The sequence below is a fragment of the Homo sapiens genome, chromosome 7, assembly GCF_000001405.40.
Source record: "Homo sapiens chromosome 7, GRCh38.p14 Primary Assembly".
NCBI classification, from domain to species: Eukaryota; Metazoa; Chordata; class Mammalia; order Primates; family Hominidae; genus Homo; species Homo sapiens.
The window spans coordinates 29,386,194-29,407,650 of record NC_000007.14 but is presented as its reverse complement, the minus strand read 5'-3'; the positions used below and the strand labels follow the sequence as shown (position 1 = coordinate 29,407,650).

General features: G+C 43.0%; 1 protein-coding gene across 13 annotated transcripts in view; it reads right to left on the bottom strand.

Annotated features, from left to right (window-relative positions):
• Nucleotides 1-21,457, bottom strand: part of CHN2 (chimerin 2) — a 367,738-nt gene that overhangs the window by 106,678 nt on the left and 239,603 nt on the right. For all 13 annotated transcript variants that reach the window (XM_011515105.3, XM_011515106.3, NM_001398427.1 and 10 more), the window contains 3 exons: nucleotides 13,941-13,972; nucleotides 9,165-9,278; nucleotides 6,823-7,108 (listed from right to left, as the gene is read on the bottom strand). In XM_011515105.3, coding sequence (XP_011513407.2) covers nucleotides 6,823-6,960 — 138 coding nt within the window. In that variant the 5' untranslated portion in view covers nucleotides 6,961-7,108; nucleotides 9,165-9,278; nucleotides 13,941-13,972. The remainder of the gene's footprint in view (nucleotides 1-6,822; nucleotides 7,109-9,164; nucleotides 9,279-13,940; nucleotides 13,973-21,457) is intronic.

The following is a 21,457-nucleotide window of genomic DNA, read 5'->3' as shown; positions in this document are numbered from 1 at the left end:
ATCAGGGTACCTGTCACCTACTATAATAGCTAAGTTATGCTCATCTTCATTTACCCTTGAATCCTGAGAAAAGACTGGGTATGTCAGTTACATGTTATTTCCAAAGAACCTCCTGCAGAGAAAATCTATAGGTTCTTTAGACCCTGTAATGCAAGTGATCTTTTCCAGCTCCATAATGCTTTCTGCATTAACAATTCAGGTTCTTTCTTTGGCAAATGAATGCACGCCTCTGCTTGGTGAAGGACAATGGGTAACACTATGTTTGAATCTACTGTCCTGAATGAAGTCACCAAGCCTCTCCACCCCCTAGGACCAAGACCCCCTCCACAGTGGCACAGTTGTGGATCCCATCCAAAAAAAAGGCCTCAACAATCTTAACTCTAAGATAGCTGCTGAAAAGCATCCTTTTCTATCCAAGCCTCCTTGGTGTCACTGAAATACTTTCTAAGCTATTGAGCCGGGTGCCTCAGTTTCCTGTCCTGCAAAACAGAAGGGTTGCATGAGATGGTCTCCACGATTCCCCTGCTTCTCCAGACTCCTGCTGCTCCTGATGCTACAAGGAGTTGGTGGCCAGATCTTAGCCCAGTGAAGGAAGGAGCACGTGCTGAGAGACGGTGCGGGAGATGCTGAGGCACCCTCTTGGTGAATTTGAGATACGCTGTTCCTTAGGGTGAATGTGGGGCAATGTGTTACATTTTAAAAGTCACCCATCCATTTTTCATTCAATCAGTGCTTGCTTCACCGAGTGAGGTGGAGGGCGTTAGAATTAGGAAGTAGGCTGAGGAGTAGCCTCTGCCTCCCACTGATCCACCTCTGGGGAAAGAGACAGACATAGAAACCACAGATTTTTAAATGCAGGTGGGAATCAGAACTGCCTAAAGCTTAAAACACACATTGGCGGAGGGCACCCCAGAGTCCCCCACACAGTGGCTCCTGGGAACGTGCATTTCTAACCAGCCTCCCAGCTGATGTTGATGCTGCTGGTTCCCGAGGGCCATGCTTTGAGAACCACTGATCAAAACAATGACGCTGGACACAGGGTGATGAACTCTCATAAAGGTGGTGTGCAGCATGCCAGGGCGGGGAGGGGAGGGGAGGCTGAGTGTGGCAGGTTCTATTCAATAGTAGAAAAGGACAGCTGCACTGGACTCCACAGGCTGCCAGGGATGCCCATGGCACCCACCTAGCTCTCCAGCATGCCTGGCCTGGAACTGGGGAGAATGTTAACAGCTCACAGGTACCCCTCAACCAAGAGGGGACAGGAGGTGATGCGTTAAACACTCCCACTTCAATTCCTCTTAGAAGCAGTTCTACCCGGCTCCTGAGAAGGTGATCAGCTCCACAACGTGCATATACCAGCCTCTCTCCTCCTCTATTTACCTGCCCAGCTTCTCCTCCTCTCCCTGGGATGCCTTTCCAAATTCCCCATCTGTACCAAACCCCAGTCTCAGGCTTTGCTTCTCCAAGGGGCCCAGGCTTAAACAGGCTGCAAATTTCCTGTAAGGAATTTGAACTCTGTCCTAGAGAAAAAGCAAATAAGAGCTGTTGCAGAATTACAGCAACAACAATAACACTCTGATGAGCACAGAGTCACCACGGGGACACCAGCCATGAGATGCGAGCATGGCACTGGGGAGAACCACTCGGGACAGGCTCAACCTTGTATGAAGACTTCTGCCAGTAAGCGAGGGCTGGACATTCACTCCTTGGCCTGGCCACGGCCTCTGTTCAAGCACATTGTAGGGAATCATTCCTAGGCAAAGATACCGGGACAGGCCAGCAGATCACATGATGGAAACAGTGAAACAACCAATGAAAGGACCACCTTGGATATAAAGGCGGGCAGCTGGGAAGGAAGAAAATAATTTAGAAAGAAAAAACAAACAAACAAACAAAACGCTGAGTGGGAGACAAGAGGGGAGAGGTTGTTCTCTGATGAAACAGTTCATCTGTAAAGGACAACCCAGTAAGGTTGGAAGGCCTTCAGTCCAGAAAAGGTAACTCTCTTTGGTTTTGCAGGAAGAAAGTAGAAACCAAAGAGGGCTTCGGTGCCTGCCCTAAGAAAGCAAGAGGACTCTGGGAGTTGGCTTGGCAGCAGTTTGAGAAAGGCGTGGTGATGGTGGGGTGGTTAATGGGAGGAGAGCTGGGGAGGGTCCCAGAGGGCACAGCTGAGGGGTCTGTGTGTCAGGGGAGGCAATGCCAGGAAGGAAGAAAGCAGCAGCCAATCCACTGCCAGGGGCAGACACACTGCACTGTAGTTAATGATGTGCGCCCTGTGCTATCATTACGCTCTCCCAGCTCCAACCTTTAGTAAAACTCTGCTAAACACAGACTCTTCGTTAAAGACCCCATGGAGAAATGAAAGTGTCCTATCAGCATCGGGTTGAGCTGAGAAGAAACAGCCTGGGTGCAGAGTGTTGGAACTGCCGTGTGTGTGTGTGTGTGTGTGTGTGTGTGTGTGTGTGTGTGTGTGTGTGTGTGTGTGTATGGTGACATAAGCACTCCATACAGAGAATGTTTCTTTATTCAGGGTATGCTTTAATGTATGTGAATTTAATACACAGCGCATTATTTTCTCTTATTTAAATTTTTAAATAGGGCACTGCATCGATCACGGTTTAAAATTCCAAGAGTCTGAAAGAGTAGCAGGGAAAAATCTCCTTCCACACTGTACCCCTCAGACACCCACTTCCCTTCTTCAAAGGCAATCAGTGATACTGGCTCTTGCATCCTTCAAGGGATATTTATGACTTTGCATGAAAAAAATATATGCTAAAGCTTTTTTTGGCTGGATGCGGTGGCTCGTACCTGTAATCCCAGCTACTTGGGAGGCTGAGATGGGAGGATCGCTTGAGCCCACGAGTTTGAGACCAGCCTGGGCAATAAAGTGAGATCCTGTCTTTAAAAAATAATAAATACATACAATTTTAAAATAAAAATCAATAAAAATATTTTTTTCTACTAGTTTACTCAAATAATACCATACTCCACACACCACACTGCTAGGTACTTTTCCATATAACGATTCCAAGTGCCCATTCCACATCAGCCCATATGAGGGTTCTCATTCATTCCTTTCCTGGGGTTGTGTGATATTCCTTAACATGGATGTACCATAATCCATTTAAGCAGTCTCAAATTGATGGACATTAAGGTCATTTTCTAATTTTTGCTGCTATAATGAACAGTGAAACGGATAAACTGGTATAATATATTCTTAAATGTGCTTTTATTATTTAAGGGCATGGATCATTTTTTCCCCACTAAAACACAGATGCAATTTAATATGACAAACCATATTTATTGAATAAAAATGTGCTGTCAAAAACACTGTTGTCATATGCATTGGATTCGTAGGGTATACTTTTTAAGAAAATACTAGTTATTATAGCTCGTAATAGCAGTTTTCTGCTTACATGATCTGTTTTCAGAAACAGATCATGTAAATACTGAGTACTTTTAGCATCACTTGCCTCAGGATGGCCCAAAACCAAGGGTGTTCGCTCAAAGCACTAAGGGCAGTGAGCACAGAATGAGGCACAACTGCTCAGTTGATTTAAGAAGCTTTGAGCGTGGAATCAGGAAGCCTGGGTCTGATTCCTCACCCTGCCACCGTGAGCCTTTCAATAAGATGGGGATGGTGATTCCTGCCCTACGGACCTGGCAAAGTGGTTCTGAGGATAAAATGGGAAATTAGTTCACATATGTGAAATGTGTTTAACACTAAATGTCTGAGCTCATGTTAAATCTCCTGTTATTCCTTTGTTGCTTACAGTGATGTGAAGGTCAGTAGATAATCCATCTATGGAATAAGTTCTGAAATGCGTTTCATAGAAGAAATGACACTGGATGTGACCATTTTAATTAGATGCACCGAATGGTGGCCCACATACATCATAATGTTTTTAAATCCAACTAAATAAAGAATCAGTGGGGAGACGGATCACTATTGGCTAACCATCACAACTTTTTTTTTTTTTCTGCCTTCCTCCCTGCCTCTCCATCTCATCTACGGTTATTAAAATCAAGTTTACTGCTAACAATCATGACTGGAGAGAAATCTGGGAGCCACTCAAATCTGATGGAGTAGGTAATCTCTTTTTGCCAATTATTACTGCGTTAGTATTCTTGGATACACAGGTAACATCGTCTCTCTGGATTCATTTGGAAACGATCAATAAAACAAATGAGAAAACGAAATTTAAGTACCTGGAAACGGAAATGCTGGTGTGTCTGGAATTGAGAAATATTAGGAAACCTGCTCATTTCACTCATTAAAACCTTCAAGACACGCCCTTAGCAAAGCAAACAGGTACCCTCCCCCCACCCACTCTTCTCAGTGAAGCCATTCACGTTTCCAGTCCCTCTTTTCTAGTCACTGACTCCATCGCAATGGACCACTGACTGCCTTTAAGGGAAACAGAATCTCTGGCAAGGCTGAGACCTTTAATAATTCCACTTGTCAATATAGGTCAGAGAGAAACGGATGGATTCGTACCAAGTAACTTAACAAACTACTAACAAAATGAGTAGCCCCAGCAAGTGACCAGGCCCAGTGTCCCTTGGGACAACCAAACATCACATCATTAGTGTCCAAGAAAATCCACACCACCGACACCCGTCCATCAAACTGCTCAGAGAGTTGGGGTGTCTTCCTGCAATATTTTCTTGATTTACCGTTTCCCAAAAAGGTAAATGTATATTGGGTGGCTCATTCAAAGTGATTATTAATTGGATTATTAATTTCCTCCACAATTTATTTTTGACAAATAAATACAAAAATATCTGCACAAGGGGGCATATTTTGAGGTACAAGTTTCCTGATAGGAATATTGTCCAGAAATATCAGTTTCTGTTGACCAAACTTCCCTCTCAGGGAAGGACAAGAATCTAGAAATATCAGTTTCAATACCCAGGATCTCAAGTCGGCCCTAACACAGAAGAGACACTCCTCCTGCTCTCCTCTTTTCCTTGAGCTGTTCTAGTGTGCATCCTGCAGTTTGTAACAGATTGCCTTTTCAGTGACTTTGCTCTCTGATTCAGAAATATAAACACTGCTTCAGAGATTTATTTTACAATTCATCTTCTGATTTGTCATGGCTGGGAAGGTCGGCTTTCATATTTTCTATTCTAAATTACTTTGGAACAGATTTTGCAAACAGACTAAGGAATGGCTTTTGTCTGGACCGGAACAAACTCTGAAAGTTGGGACTCAAGTCCTCTCTCTTTTGTTAAAATGTAAACAGTCAGAAACCCCACAATTTCCCAAAGCAATTATTTGGAAAAGAATAAACAGGTGCTTTGGAGACACTGGAGTTATAAAAAGAAAATGGCAAATTATATTTTCATGGGCCCAGCTGCTGCACTGATGTGATTCTGTGGAAGGTTCTCCTAGGATCTGAAGCTCAATCAGCAAATCAGTTGACATGATCCCTGTCTCCACCAACGGGACCACGGTGCCACCCCGCCCTCCTCCCTCTCAGGGCTTTCTGATGAAGCCCCTCTGCCAATGCCAGTCCCGAATCCATCAGCCCGAGGCTCCTTTGCTTCCCATTGACACTGGACGACGGGAGGCCCGTTCCGGTTTAACTAGGATTAGTGACCACTGGAAGGAGCAGTGTGGCGGGGCTGTAGCTCCTATCCGCTTATTTCTATCTGTCCCAGCCCTAGTGTGCCTGACAAGCCGGGCTCAGCACAGACTCTGCAGGGGCTGATTGGCGTGGCTGGCTGTCACTTTCTTTCAGTGGGAAACAGATAGGACCAGGCAAAGCAGATGGTCCCTCAAGGGGCACATCCCAAAAATCTGCTAGCAAACTCTGGTGGTGCCTTTCAAACAAACAGCAACTTACTGGAGAGGAAAATCAGATCTCCCTGGCCGCCTCCTGCCACAATCTACCCCCCGCCTGCATACTTGCCCACTTAGGAGTTTTTTAATCCTTGGTGAGGCATAATAACTTTGGGGCAAAGGACAGCTTGTCTTTCTACTTCCCAGAGATAGCCACGTTCCCATATCTGTCAGTGAAATGCTCCCATATCTGTCAGTGAAACCTGTTATCTAAGTAAGACCACCTTCAAGAGACCTGACCTGTGGATCATGGGCAGTCACCCAGTCCTAAGAGAAGCAAATACAAATACCACGTATTTGGCCGGCTGGGTGGAACTAAAGATGGAGCCAGTGACACCTCAAATGGTGACTGAAAACATGTTTCATCATAATACATTAATGGAGGTTTGTTTTTTTTTTCTTTCAAACTCCAAATAAACCCACAAATGACTTGGTAGAAGTCCTGGGTCTGACTGTATGAATTTGAACAAATCATCAAACATTTCTGGGCTTCATCTGTAAAATGAGGGGGCTGACCTAGAAGATTTTTTTTTTTTTTGAGACGGAGTCTCGCTCTGTTGCCCAGACTGGAGTGCAGTGGCACAATCTTGGCTCACTGCAAGCTCCCCGTCCTGGGTTCATGCCATTCTCCTGCCTCAGCCTCCCAAGTAACTGGGACTACAGGCGCCCACCACCACACCCGGCTGATTTTTTGTATTTTTTGTAGAGACGGGGTTTCACCGTGTTAGCCAGGATGGTCTCTATCTCCTGACCTCGTGATCCACCTGCCTCGGCCTCCCAAAGAGATTACAGGCATGAGCCACCACGCCCGGCCTGAGCTAGAAGATTTCTAAGGTCCCTTTGGCCCTAACATTCTAGAGTTCTTCGGGTGGGGGTGGGTCTCCTCCAACATTTCAGCAAATCGCACCTATAGTTAACCCGCCTGTTGATGCGGCATGGATTAAAACGAAAGGCTGCTTCCATCACACACAGCTCACCTTTTCCACCGCTGTGTGTTCTTCATGTGTGACGTTTGTTTTTCTTGGTTCATTTTTAGACCTGCTCAGCCTTCTGGATACTTTTTCTCTGAGTAGGGTGGCATATCCAATGTGTTCATAGATGGGGTTAGTTGTCATTTTTGAAATGTACTCGGCAGCTTTTGTTTCTATGTACAGTGTTATCAAGCCATCTGTCACCAGATCATGAATCGACTCAAACCTCTTCTCACCCACAAAGTGTTTCCCGTCGTGGAAGAGCCTGTAGTTTAAGGTCTGGTTTCCAAACCTGCCCGTGAGAGAATGAGGGATTACAACCACGTTAGAAATAAGCACAGTGTGGAATGATAACAATAGCAGCTAACGTTTTTTGAATACTTAGTGTATCCCAGGCACAGGGCTAAGCACTTGATGTGATTTTTTTTCCCCTAACGCTCACAGAGACCCTTTGAGACGGTATAATGGTTATGCCTGTCTTACCGCAAAGGTAACTGATGCTTGAAGAGATGGCGGTTCCTGCTTGAGTTTATATGACTGGAACGAGGCAGAGGTGGGGCTTAACCCCAGGACATCACATGGAGTCGTTTGATCCTAGAAATCACTAAGGTCATTGTCAGTATCCTTCTCATTTGTAAGGGTCAGAGGGTAATGCCTGATTTACAACTATGTTACCTGTAAACTTACTTAACGGGAACCAGCTCTCCTCTATACCTGGCAATTACCTCTGCAAGGGATGCCCTGTCCTGGTCCTGATGCCCCCTTGTTAACGCATCTTTACCACCTCCAGCAGAGCACCCCATGCCTTCCGCCCTAGTTGGTGCAGCAGAAGGGAAGCAATAAGGTGTGCTAAACTCCCTGCTGGAGCTGTTGCCAGTGTCCCCACAATCTAACCTAGAGGTTCCCTCCTCTCTGGGCCCTGACCTTCCATCTACAGCCCCTGCTTGACTCCCCACTACAACTGCCAGCTTCTGCTACTGAAGTGCTGGGAAGATAGGAAATTATTTTGCACACCTAGAGCGCATGATATAATAGCTTTTTAAGTTCGTCCTCATAATTACATTATTTAAGATATGCTGTAGACATGTTGCAACTTGGAAAGTGTCATTGCACAGCCATAATAGGGAGATGGTGCATGGAACACACCATTGTGGGCCTGGGAAGGGCTTCCATGGACACCATTCCCCCTATGGAGAGAGGGCTTTCCAATTCCGAAGAGTTCACAAATGAACTTTTGGAAGACAATTCAGTTCTGAAATTGGATACCTTCCCCGAAATGTATAGGGCTACGGCGAGGATCAAATGACAGAAAATATTTGATCAAGGTTTGAAAAGTGCCATAAATGTGCTGTCTTTCTTATGTTGTGATGTTTAATACTTGTGATTTTGTGGTAAAGGCTCAGTAGAGCCTGTTCTACTGGCTCATTGGCCTGAAGGGTCATGACTGCCCTCACGACAGGTTCCTGGGGTCAACAAGGTGAACCCTGAGAGAACCCCATGAGCAAATGCAGGTCTTGTGAGGTCTGCACGTGCAAGGCCAGGTGAAGGAGCCCTTCCTTCAACATGGGCTGCTGGGAGCTGAGGCAAAGACGCTGCAGCCTCGGCCAGCTAGATGGTGCAGGCAGAGGTGGCTGTAGAAACACTAACTTTCCAGATGGTTCTCCAGTTTACTGTGTGTCCATGATCAGAGTCCCAGTGTCCACACCTACCGATAGCATCTGCGGCTGAGGAAATGTAAACAAACTCTGATATACTGCTGGTGCTTCAGAAACAAGTGAAGATATCAAGTAAGGAGTAGGGAGGGGTAATTGTTTATGGTAGTGGGTTTCTGTGTGGGATGATGAGAAAGTTCTGGAAATGAATATGGAGATGTTTGTACAACATTAATAATGTACTTAATGCCACTGAATTTTACTTAAAAATTTTAAAAGGAGGCCAGGTGCAGTGGCTCCTGACTGTAATCCCAGAACTTTGGGAGGCTGAGACAGGCGGATGGCTTGAGCCCAGGAGTTCAAGACCAGCCCGGGCAACATGGTGAGACCCCATTCTCTTCAAAAAAAAAAAAAAAAAAAATTAGCCAGTCATGGTGGTGTGTGCCTGTGGTCCCAGCTACTCAGGAGGCTAAGGTGGGAGGCACTTGAGCCTGGGAGGCAGAGGCTGCAGTGAGCCATGATTGTGCCACTGCACTCCAGCCTGGGTGAGAGAGTGGGACCCCCCCCTCATAACATAAACATGGGAAAAATGATGAATTTTGTGTTATGTATACTCTGCTACAATTCTTAAAAATGGGCAAACATCAGTGAAGCCACTTGTACAGCAATGAAAACAAGGAATGAAATGCGCCTCACCTGAGAGCCAGCGTGTAGCATCCTGGTTGCCGCTGGCTTTCTCTAAGGATGTAGGCACCCTCCACGCCTCCAAGAAGCTCATCCGCCTGCTCCCGAGAGATGATCCCATGAAACCTGAAGGTACAAGACCATCAATGCTCTGAACAGACCACATACAGAATAAGGACCACAAAGAACTAGCCTTAAAAGGATGGTGGGGGCACCCAGAATCGACAGCCCCACAACTGAGTGAAGAAGGGGGGTGACTACTGCCCATCTTAAGTGACTTGGAACCACCCCTCACATGCTCCAAACACAAGTATTCAAGCAGGCAAACAAAAGGAAGGATGCCCAGTCCACCTGGCTTTCTGCTATTGTCTTTGCTTTCAAGTTGAAAATGAAAGTTGAAACAAAAAGCCAGGTTACTCAACCACCGCCCCCCCCCCCCCTTTTTTTTAACCATGGGAAATAACAGAAGAGCAATTACCAATTTAGCTCTCAGCTCAGAGAACTATGTGTTATCCTAATTGCAAGTGGACATTTATTGATTAGCAACCTGCTTGCTTCAGGTGCAGGGTGGTGTTAATTTTAGAGGCTCATTTTCTGGAAAGAGGTAGCTATCATCAACATTCTTCCAGTTATTTACACTTGGAGAGCAATAGCTTATGGGTATTTTAGAAAATGTACCTATTTTTCTTTTTTAAAGATAAATTTATCTTCTCTACCATTTTAAAACCCATACACATGCATGTGGAAAATGTGGCATATCCGGGAGGGTTGTGTGCTGGCCCATGATCACTCTGATGTGGAGGCAGTTGTCTGAGGCCCAGAGAGTGGACAGTGACTCCACAGAGGAATAGGGAGAGGTAGGAGTTGGGTCAGGAACCAGCCCACGTTCCCTGTTGCCTTTAAGTAAATACAGCTGCTCCTCCCACAGGACTGGAGATTTGATCAACCAGTATTTCATGGAAAGTGGGGCAAGCTGGGTTGGGGAAATGAGGCAGTCCCAAGGGACTTCAAGCTTCTGGGAAAGGAGTAACACCCCTTTCTAGGATTATCCAACCTTGGAGAACTTTGGATAATAAATCAGAGAATAAATTTTCTGGACAGAGAAAAACACCTTTACTTTCTTGAAGAGGAGGAAAGGGAAGTAAGCTAGACAAATTTTCTTTTGTTTTGTATTTTCCTCAGGAATGCAAAGATTAAGTTAGAGTACAAATGCAGAAGGATAACATTTTTAAAAGTGCCTATCACAATATTTATTTCCTAATTCCCTCTATCCTTAAAAAGTAGACCTTCCAAGCTGAAGCTTCTGTCCAAGGAAAGTGAGGTCAGAAGCAGCCTGTGGCTTTGTGTTTCAAAATCGCTTCTTAAAGGTGTACGGCAGTGATGGCCTGGAAGAAAAAGGCTTTCTGGCTTCCCAAATTTTGATTTTAAATCTCAACAGCTGATGTCTGGAGGTCTTGGAGCAATGCTCTTCTGAGTGAGGATGAATGTTCTGTGAATCCCCGGTTCTGGTGGGAGGGACTGAGGCAGAGCCCAGTCTCAGGGGGTCTAACTGGCCCTGCATAGCAGGTGTGGATTGGAACCGGGAGGCCAGTTTATTGGGGCCTGGAGCAGAGGTGTTGGAGCTTTGATAGTGAGGTCACTGGACCTAGGAACTTTGCGGAGGAGCCTCCTGTGCAGCCTGAGCCAGGTTGGAGAGGATGGGACAGATGGCCTGGGCAAAGAGCCCTGGGGGCAGCCTTGCGGATGGGTTGGCGGGTGGGTTGGCAGTGAGTGTGGGGGTGGGTGTGGGGGGAGGGACATGCAGCAGGAGAGTGGGAGGGGCAGACAGCATTGCCAATATTCCAACACATAAGTAGAAAAGACAAAAGCTGGGATGTCGAAGACACAGCCCGTGGGCCAGAGTAACAATAGCAGGACAGGGCACGCAGAGGGACCTGCCCCAGGTCACTCCAGGAGAAGGGACAGGAAAAGGGGTAGTCTCTAAACAAGGCAGTTAACCCAAAAGCAGCTAGATTTTTTTTTTTTTTTTTTTTTTTTTTGGAGAGAGTCTCACTCTGTAGCCTAAGCTGGAGTGCAATGGCGCGATCTCAGCTCGCTCACTGCAACCTCCGCCTCCCAGGCTCAAGCAATGCTCCTGCCTCAGCCTCTCGAGTAGCTGGGACTACAGGCACACCCCACCATGCCCGGCAAATTTTTTGTATTTCAGTAGAGATGCGGGGAGTGGGGGCGGGTCTCACCATGTTGCCCGGAGTGGTCTCGAACTCCTGAACTCAGGCGATCAACCCGCCTCGGTCTCCCAAAGTGCTGGGATTACAGGTGTGAGCCACTGTGCCCAGTCAAAAGCAGCTAAGTCTTATGTTTCTTTTTTAATTCTTGATTTTGAGTATGCATACTTTTTCTATTTTTATTTTTAATTGATATATAATTATTGTACATATTTATGGAGAACATGTGATATTTTGATACATAAGTACAATGTATAATGATCAAATCAGGGTAATCAGGATGCCTGTCACCTCAAGCATTTATTGTTTATGTTAGGAACATTCGAAAGCCTCTCTTAGCTATTTTGGAATATATAATAAATTGTTTTAACTATAGTCACCTAGAACTTAAGTTTTAATTCACTTGAATTGGCAAGTTTAAGTGATTGACAGCGTCAAACAGTGTCAATAACTAAATTAAATTCAATCATTCAAAAGAAGAAAATGACAATTTTGTGCACCTGAAGACCAGTCTGTGGCTTGTCATCCCCTTTATGCATCATTTTTAAAAGTCCAAATATCTCCAACCTATAATATCTAATATATTTGTATGACTGCAACTTGGTAAGAAAAAAGCAAGCATGCACAAAGACCAGAAAGAGATGAAGAGAAAAGGTTAGCAATGATTCTCTTTCATGGTAGAACTATGGGTATTTTCCCTCTTCTATTTTCCTTTATTTTCTAATTTTCCAAGTTAATTGGTATTAATTTATTAATTTTTTTTTGTACAAGGTCTCACTCTGTTGCCCAGGCTGGAGTGCAATGGTTCAGTTGACCTTCTGGGCTCAAGTGATCCTCCCACCTCCCACCTGTGGTCCTGAGTAGCTGGGACCATAGGCATGTGCCACCATGCCTAGGTAATATTTGTATTTCTTGTAGAGATGAGGTCTTCCCATGTTGCTCAGGCTGGTCTTAATCTCCTGAGCACAAGTGATCTGCCTTCCCTGGCCTCCCAAAGTGCTGGGACTACAGGCGTGAGCCACTGTGCCCAGCCATAATTTATTTTTAGAAACAGAAGTAATACCTGTGCACAGCAGAAAATTCCAATTTCAAAAGTTGAAGGTATAAAAGAACTAAAAATGCAAAATTCCTCTCTCCCTAAAGGTATCCATTGTCAATAGTTTCTTGTGATTCCTTCTAGGAATAAATGTGTATGTGCGTTTCCTGAATGAAGCATGTATTACTTTTTAAGTGGAAGAAAAAAACACCCTTCATTTTTTAAAAAAATAAAGGGAAACACAGAATCTGAAGGTTTTAGGCTAATTACCATCTAATAAAAGATGTTCCTTTTGGTAGTTAAGAAAACACTTCTTTAGTCTCAAGACTCTCATATGTTTTACATGAATTGGGGGTAAGAAGATGAGAATTAAAAAGTTATTTGACAAAACTTTTCTGCAAAAAGAAAATGCATAATAAACAGCTCCTTTTAGAATTCACATGCAAAAGTGTATATGGTAGGTTTTCATTTTCTTCTATTTTTTTAAATTAATTGTGCTATCTTCAAGGAAAAAACAAATAAGCATACTGAGGAAAAAAAGCCATACTACAACATAGATTAGACAGTAGGGGCATGGGGTAGAGAGGAGCGGAGGCCAGTGCCCCCAGGCAGGCATTCCAGAGGTGCTGGTCAAATTCCCAGGGTGCTGCGAGGAAGGTTCTGAAATGCAGCTGTGGCAATTAGGAAGGTGCACGGGGCTGGGACCCCTAAGAGGGTCATTAATCATGAAGATGAGGCTCTGACGGGTAAGGGAATAAGAGGAAGGTTTGAGATTGGCTGTGAGAGCTTGGAAGGTAGACTCAAAAGAGACGTTGCCTCACAACGCCTCCAGGTTGGACTTGGGAAGAAAAGTGATTGATGCATCTCCTCTCCCCTGGCCCGTTCTGCCTGCCCTCTGTGTTGTGCTGTACACACCATAGGCTTAGACTGCGAATTATTTTTATGGTCATGCGTATTTGCTGGGCAGTAGGTTTTGGAAAAAGTGAAACAAAACAAGAGTTGAAATTAAGAGAAAAATGGAAAGGGGAGTATTAAGGCAATTTGGCTACTACACCCGAGCCAAGAGATATCATCATTTGGGTTTTATGAGACTGCAGAGAAGTGGGATGCCTATCCTGACCACCGCACCGAGGTACACGAAAGTCAGGAACTCACATACAGTGTACCATCTTGGACACACCAAACGTTTCTATTGTGTTGAGGTAGAAAGTGAAATGAAACACTAACAGAGAGCCTCCATTATGAAAAATGCTGCCTTCCGTTTCAAGTACTTGCCAGGCACTCAGTAGCTCTTTTGTGGAGGGAAAAGTAGCGCAAAATGCTCTACCTCCCACATTAATGGAAACCAAGCACTTGACTACTATAAAAAATATTAATTCAAAGGAGTCTGATTGCATTTATTATCATTAAACTCTTGCACAATAGACATATGATGATGACCATATATTAGAAAATTTGTAATATTTAAATGACACATGAAATGACTACTTATTAAATTATTAAAACAAAGAATAGTATAATACATACTCTCTTCCATAATATTTTGGTCTGTTTTCCACCTATATTAAAAAGAAAAAAAAATTAATAATGCATTTGAATTCAAATCAGCTAGATAAAAATGCTATTCAAATAAACAGAACTAGGGTCCTGGTAGTAATTTTATTACAGATTGTATCCTCCAAATCAGAGATCCATGAAGCTATGGAGTTATAATCAGCACATTCCAGTATCAGGTAGGAATGACCTAGAATCAATCATTAGGCTCATTTCCCACCCAAACCCAATCATCCAATAAGAGAATTTTCAACAAAAACAAAGCGATGCTTATTTTAATATTAAGGAATTTGTAAGGATATTATAAGGCTTCATCCTGAAGGATAAAACAACTACTCTGTCATGAATAAAACATAAGCATTTATTTTACTCTGTGCCTAATTGTTTTTATTATGTATTTATAATTAAAACAAGAAGTCTACCTGGATTAAAAAATAAAGCAGACTTAACTTGATCATGTTCTAAATAAAATCAATATTTTAACATTCTTATTTTTTCAACATGTGGCTAATGGGCTGAAATTCATTTGACACCAGAGGTGCAGGCTACAGGGGACAAGATTTATGACTTGACTAAAACACAAACATTCCAGAAAGGATCTTTCAATCACAGCTTTAGCCTTGAGGTTATCACATCTGATTTTTCTCACATACATGATCATCTGCTTTCATAAGAGCTTTGTTTTCACATGTTTATGATGTTGGAGTTGGTGAGAAAGTGACATGATTTCTCATGCTCGGCCTTTGTTCTTCTCTCCTAACTCCAGGGACACTCAAAACATTGTAGAGCCACATTAAGTTATGGGTTTTTATGAATGGTTCTATGTATGACAGCAAGTTTATGTTTATTCACTGTTGTAGGATACGAGCTTGGCAGCTGTTTTATTCACAGTCATTTCTTCCTAGAGTCAAATGGACAGTTTTCACAGCAGGGCTCAGAGACAGGCACAGTAGCAGGATTTCATGATATGGGGCAGTTTCCTGGCCTAGCTCCATCCTCCAAGGGATGCAGATCTGAATAGGTAACAGGACACTAGGAGCTAGGGGAAGAGGCTCAGAAAGGCGGAGCTGGGGCTTTGGGGACCACACTCACAATGCTGCCTAGGACAAGCCTCGCTGGTACAAAACTTATCATCTAGACACTTCTAAATATGTGTTCACTCTCCTGTGCATTTTACACCTGAGAATTACTCAACCAAGCAGGACATCCATAACTTAATCTTCAAGGTTCAAAGCCTGCTCGGTGTCATTTGTGAAGGAAGATTTAAATAATATCATTAATAGAAGCAGAAAGTGTGTAAAAAGGCACCTGGTTATCTGATATCCTTTCTATAAATGATGTGTGCCATTATTCTACAGGCTGGTAAGCTTTTTAATGAGAATTGAATATGTTGTCATTTATATCAGTCTTTCGGCTTTCAAAGTTCTTTTTTAGTTTTATAATATTATAGACATGTGACTGTAAAACCAACATGCCAGAGAAGAAATTTAGAACTAGAAAAGCCAATGAAAGTTGAGGATATATAATGGCAAAATCTCCATTCTTTGAGAGGCGATATTCCAAAATTTGAAGTGATTCTCTACATATGAGGACGATTTTTAAATTTCCATCTTTTTGGCTGAACCGTAGCACAAGTTTGCAAAATCTGGGTGTAGCTCTCAACCCTATTCCCTTCCTGTATCTTCTTATTTCCCTAAAAGAGAAAGAGTTACTAATCTAACTTCCCAGATGAGCCACATGGTAATACTACTAACTCTTGGCATGCAGGTAAACAGTTAATAGATGCTGAATTTAATTGATTCTTAACAAGACAACAAATTGCTTTCAGTTCATCAACCAATGATAAAAATACACAGCACCCTTATGTTCTGGGCTCTAGGCTCAGGCCAGCCATGTGCATGAAGTAATGACCTTGCAGGTGCAGAGAGGAAAGGTATGAGGCGCTCAGGGGTGTTCTGCACTTGCAGCAGAGGGAAACGCTTAAGGAGAAATCTAACATAGACCCCCAAAGAGGGAAGCTGATATTTAGGGTGCCTTGAAAGATGCCAGATAAGATTCTGCCCAGAAGAGAGTTTGATCCAATTGAGGGACAAATCTTCTGAAAATGAAAACCACTAGAAAATAAAAGAAGAGCCCTGAATTGTGTGGGACAGGCATGGAAGAGGGCCATGGAATACGTCCCAAATATTGCATGAGATATATACTAATACATGATTCCTTGTATATCTGAAATTTAAATTTAACTAGGCATCCTGGTCCCTCCTTCCCTCTCTCCCTTCCTCTCTTCTCCCCTCCCTTCCTCCCTTCTACCCTCCCTTCCCCTCCCCTCCCCTCCCCTCCCTTCCTCTTCCCTTCCCTTCCTACCTCCCTCCCTCTCTCCTTTTCTCCCTCTCTTCCCCACTCTCTCTTTCTTTCCTAAATCTGGCAACCCTATGTAGGGGATAGGAAAGACAGAAGTAAGAGAGAGTAAAGATAGAGGATGTGGTTGGCCATCTGATAACTGCTTCTACTGGTTGAGGGCCATTTTGATAGCAATCCAATCTCTCCTTCCTTTTTTGTCTCTGAAGCTCGTAAAGAAAATATATGTGTCCTTGTTAATGTCAAAGAGAGAGAGAGAGGCTGGGATCAAAAAAACAAAATCCTCTTCTTTTTGTAAACTTTTTACTCACAGGAGTCTAAACACAGTCTCTATTTCTATACTTCACTAAGCTTTAAACCAGTAAAGAGCTTAATGTTTAAGTTAAATGGTGCTATACAAATCATACAACGTCTACATTTCTTCAAGGTGGATAATACTGGATCCTCAGATCCAGAAAGAATAGGTGGCTGGGGGCTAGGGCTCCCAGGGACAAAGGTCTGCCAAGAGACTAAGAACCTCCGTGCTGTGCCCCCAGCAGTGCCTTAGAGAAGCCTGACTCACTCCCTGGGCAAGGCTCCGTGTTGGCCATCAGTGGAAACCAGGACCCACCTGTGAAACTGAATTTAATTAAAGAAACTGTAACTCAATTTCTGTTTCCAATTGTATGAGATTCTCTTCAGTAGGTGTGAAGGCGACAGGATAGTTGATAAATAAAAAGTAAGGCAACTCAGAAATTCTTCTTGCATTCTCATTGAAAACTATGTTTGTTAAAATCAGGCAACTTAATAAAAAAATTTAGGCAGTCACATGGATTCAGAAAGGAATGGAAAATGCAATATATCATGACAAGAATGAAGACTGGTTCTGGAGCTTCCCTGCCACTGTGACTATCCTAGGACAGCAGCTGCAGCTGGTCAATCCATCACCTGGTGAACCTGGCCTTTGTGAGTAGGACTGACGGCTGTCGGATCGGCCATGTCTGCTCTTGGGATTTAGTGCTCTGACTCCAAGAAGTGAAAGCAGCTCATTCTTTTTAAGAGAAAGAAAATATGTAGTCGTGTTACACGGATTACTAGTTCTTCTAATACTGGGTCCTTAGATGATCCAGCTGGCTCAAAAAGGAACACCTCTCTTTACAGAGGGAGAGCACCAAGTAGGAGGTCATTGAGTGAGAAAACACATGAAATGGGTCCTTCCCAAGGCACAGAGGGTTTCACTGTATATGGTGTGACCATGCAGAATGGTGGCTGATTCTTTTTTTTTTTTTTTTTGAGACAGTGTCTCGCTCTGTTGCCCAGGCTGGAGTGCAGTGGGGCAATCTCAGCTCACTACAACCTCCACCTCCCGGATTCAAATGATTCTCCTGTCTCAGCCTCCTGAGTAGCTGGGATTACAGGCGCATACCACCGTGCCTGGCTAATTTTTGTATTTTAGTAGAGACGGGGGTTTCACCATGTTGCCCAGGCTGGTCTCGAACTCCTGAGCTCAGGCAATCTGCCCAACTCAGCCTCCCAAAGTGCTAGGATTACAGGCATGAGCCACCGTGCCTGGCCGGCTGATTCTTTTTAAAAATAAAACTGAACATTTTATTCTAAATAAGCATCATCTACAAGAGAATAGTCACCCCAAGGAGGCACAATACATGCCACTTATATCCCTGTTGACCAGAACATTTTTGGAATTTCTGTTTTGGAACTACCTTAATATATACCACCCTTTCTTGTGAATATCCTTAAAGGTACACTTCTCAAAATGACCAGTGTGGACTGGTCATTCAAAACAGAAACTTCAAGATGCTTGTTGAAGACTGCAGACAGCATCCCCATCTCGAACCAGCTGAACCAAAATTACTGAGGGTAGAGGTATGACGTGTAATTTAATCAAGCCCCCTAGATGATTTTAAAGCATATACTAAAGTCAGAATCACTGTATGTAGAAATATACATACATTTACTTTTTTGAGAATGGATTTGAGAGTGCATGTTATTTCAGCAAACCGGCATAAGTTATTTGGAGCCAAGACCAGTAAGTAAACGGGGTGAGTGACCAAACTAGGAAAAACATTCGAGACAAAAACGAGGCATGATCATAAGAGAATAAGATTTTCATTGTGACTTGCTCTGAAGGAATTTTAGAAGAGACGTTCCCAGCACGCTCTGAGCAACGGGAATATTAGAAGAGACATTCCCAACACTCTCTGAGCTATGGGAATTTTAGAAGAGACGTTCCCAACATGCTCTGAGCAATGGGAATTTTAGAAGAGACGTTCCCAACACGCTCTGAGCAATGGGAACTTGGCAGAAATGAAAGCAGAGCTTCCCAAGGTGACTGAAGGGAAGGGACCAGGCCCATGTAACAGATGTGTTAAAATAACATCCATGTTATGACTTTATAGTTACATCTCAAGTATAATTAAATTGTTAGCACTGTGACTACTGGAGATGGGCTCAGTCCTGTCCCTACTATCCACAGTCCACACACCGTGCTCCTATATATATGAGGCCATGCGAATGTTATGTTTTCAGCCCAATGGTCTCATCATCCTATGTTCATCCTCTGCACTCATCAAACCAGATGAGGCCATAAGTGTGTGCCCTCTAATATGTCTATCATTTTTACGTGGTCTTATTTTAAGATCCTGAATTATCTTTCAAATGAGCCAGATCACATGTGGGTTAAGACGGCAGGCTCTGGACTCAAACTGCCTAGGTTTGAGGCCAGATCTGTGGGAATTTAAGCAAGTTACCTATTTCTATACTCCTCAGTTTTCTTATCTTTAAAATGAGAATGATAATAAAAGTACCTGTCTCATGGGGTTGTTGTAAGAGTAAATGAATAAATATGTGTAATATGCTTGCAACAGTGCCTGGCGCAGACAGCCAGTCAGTTGCTATGAGCTATCACCGGGATCCTGAGAAGGTCTCCTCTGTATAGAAGGAAGGGTTAGGCCCATCCCTTGCTGTGTTCTTAGAGCTCCTTTTACATGTCTCCATTAGAAAACTTATCTCACCATATTTTAAATATTTATTTGCCATTTTTTTCCTAACTGTTCTGTGGAGCAGCAATTTTGTCTTCATCATTCACCTATTTCCAGGATTTCTGCCAATATCTGTCACAGAGTAAATGCAGCTACCCCTTGTTATCTGAGTCTCACCCATTCCTAAAAAATGTATAGCGCAGCAAAGCTTCAAACAGCAAGAGTCTATATTCCATTACTTTACACAGAAAACAAAATTCATTTTTAGAGAATGCAAAAATATCCATTTTCCAAATATTACTAAAATGCTCCTAAATAATTACCTGACAATCTAATAGCAATCTTTTCACAATATAAAACACTTAAAAAACAATTACCTAATTGTTTAACACTTAATGCAGTAATGAGTAGGTATATTTGTGTGCAGTCTACAGCTGAATAAATAGGAATTTCATTAGCCTTCTACACTGAGCATGTATTATAATAAAAATAAATAATGCAGTGATATTACCAAAGATTCGAAAGTTACTATCTAATTGGACCTGAGTTGGTAGTGCTCCTAGGGTCCTGGCCTAAACAAATACTGAAGGGCTAAACCCTCAGGGAAAAGGTAGGGAAATTACAGATATAATGTGCTATATGTTTAAACAGGATCAGGAGAACACAGATATGAGAGAAGCCCACCCTTTGTCTTTCAGCACCCTGCTACTCAGAGTGTGATCACGGGGCCAGCAGTATTGGCATCATCTTGGAATTTGCTAGAAATGTGGGATCTGCAATTCTAAGGGGATTCATAGATACATTAAAGTTTGAGAAGCTGCCACACATGAGAGAACGTGTCATAGCTGGTTTCTAATTGGGAATGGCTTTTAGCAAGTCCCAATAGCAAATATTCAAATAGTGAGTATTCGGAAAACAAGAGTGCCTGTCCTCATTGCATGTTTGCAGAATGAGACACAGAATATGCATGTGGACCCTTGCTCATCAATCCAGTTACTGTGGGACTCTGAGTAGATTATTACACTCCTTTGCATCTCATTTTTCTCAATTTTCAGTAAAACTGGGGTTATAAAAATGAGCTATTTTAATAAGGCTGTTTCACAGATTAGATGAGATACCCACATGTGAGACTTGGACCATCGTGGCAATAGGTTCTCATTTATTGAGTGGCTACTCTGTGCCAGGCAGAGTCCTGAGGGTTTCTCTCCTTTTGTCTCATTTAAGTCTCTAAACAATGCTCCAAGGTAAGTGAGTGCTGTTATTTTAAAGAGAACCACTAAATAGCATGAGGTCACAGAGCTAGTTAAGTGGCTGAGCCTAGATGGGGACCACCCCTAAGTACTGTGCTTCACTCCTTCTCCAGTAGATACTAATCAGCGCTAATGCCTTTGTTGGCTCTCAAAATTTACAGTTTGACTAAATACATTAGATTATCTGAATGGTCTTCAGTTTTCTTTGCTAGGACTCGAGACCTTAAAATCTCTCTTGAATGAACTGAATTCCATCAATGAATTGGCAAATGTGAACTTCGGAAAAATTTGCCTAGGATGGAGTGACATTTGGGGTCTCTCAAATATTTCCCTGTGATTTGGATTCACGTGTATTCCCAAACTACCTGGTTTATTTCCCAATGTATTTTTCAATTTTAAGGAAGACTTCTCAGTATTTTGCCAAGCTCCAAAGAACAGTAGGGTGACAGCTGCACAGTGAGAGACAGAAAGCATAATCCTTAAATGAGTTTGCTTTATAGTCAGATTATCATTGCCTAGATAAACACAAGTTCCTTTATGTTCAACACAAAGACATTTACAGAATATTGTGAGTCCTCTGTAAACAAGGTTTCCAATTATTGAAAGAACAAAGCTTTTGTAATCCCTCCGCAGCTGGTATATGTTAAGTTTTTACTTAATAGAAATAATTTAAAAACCCGACTTAGCAGCCTCCTACACAGGGCAGCTAGATTGCCGGATTTTCTGAGAGATGGATCAAGTAGGGGAGAAAAGGCTTTTGATGGGGGGATTTGTGCTGGTGATACTGGGGCAATTTCATCCACAAAAAATAAATACAGATAATTCCTTTTTAATTAGAAATCAAAGATTCCCCCACTGAAAAGGAGAGAAAGAAAATGCAAGTACTGAAATTTACACTCTTGTA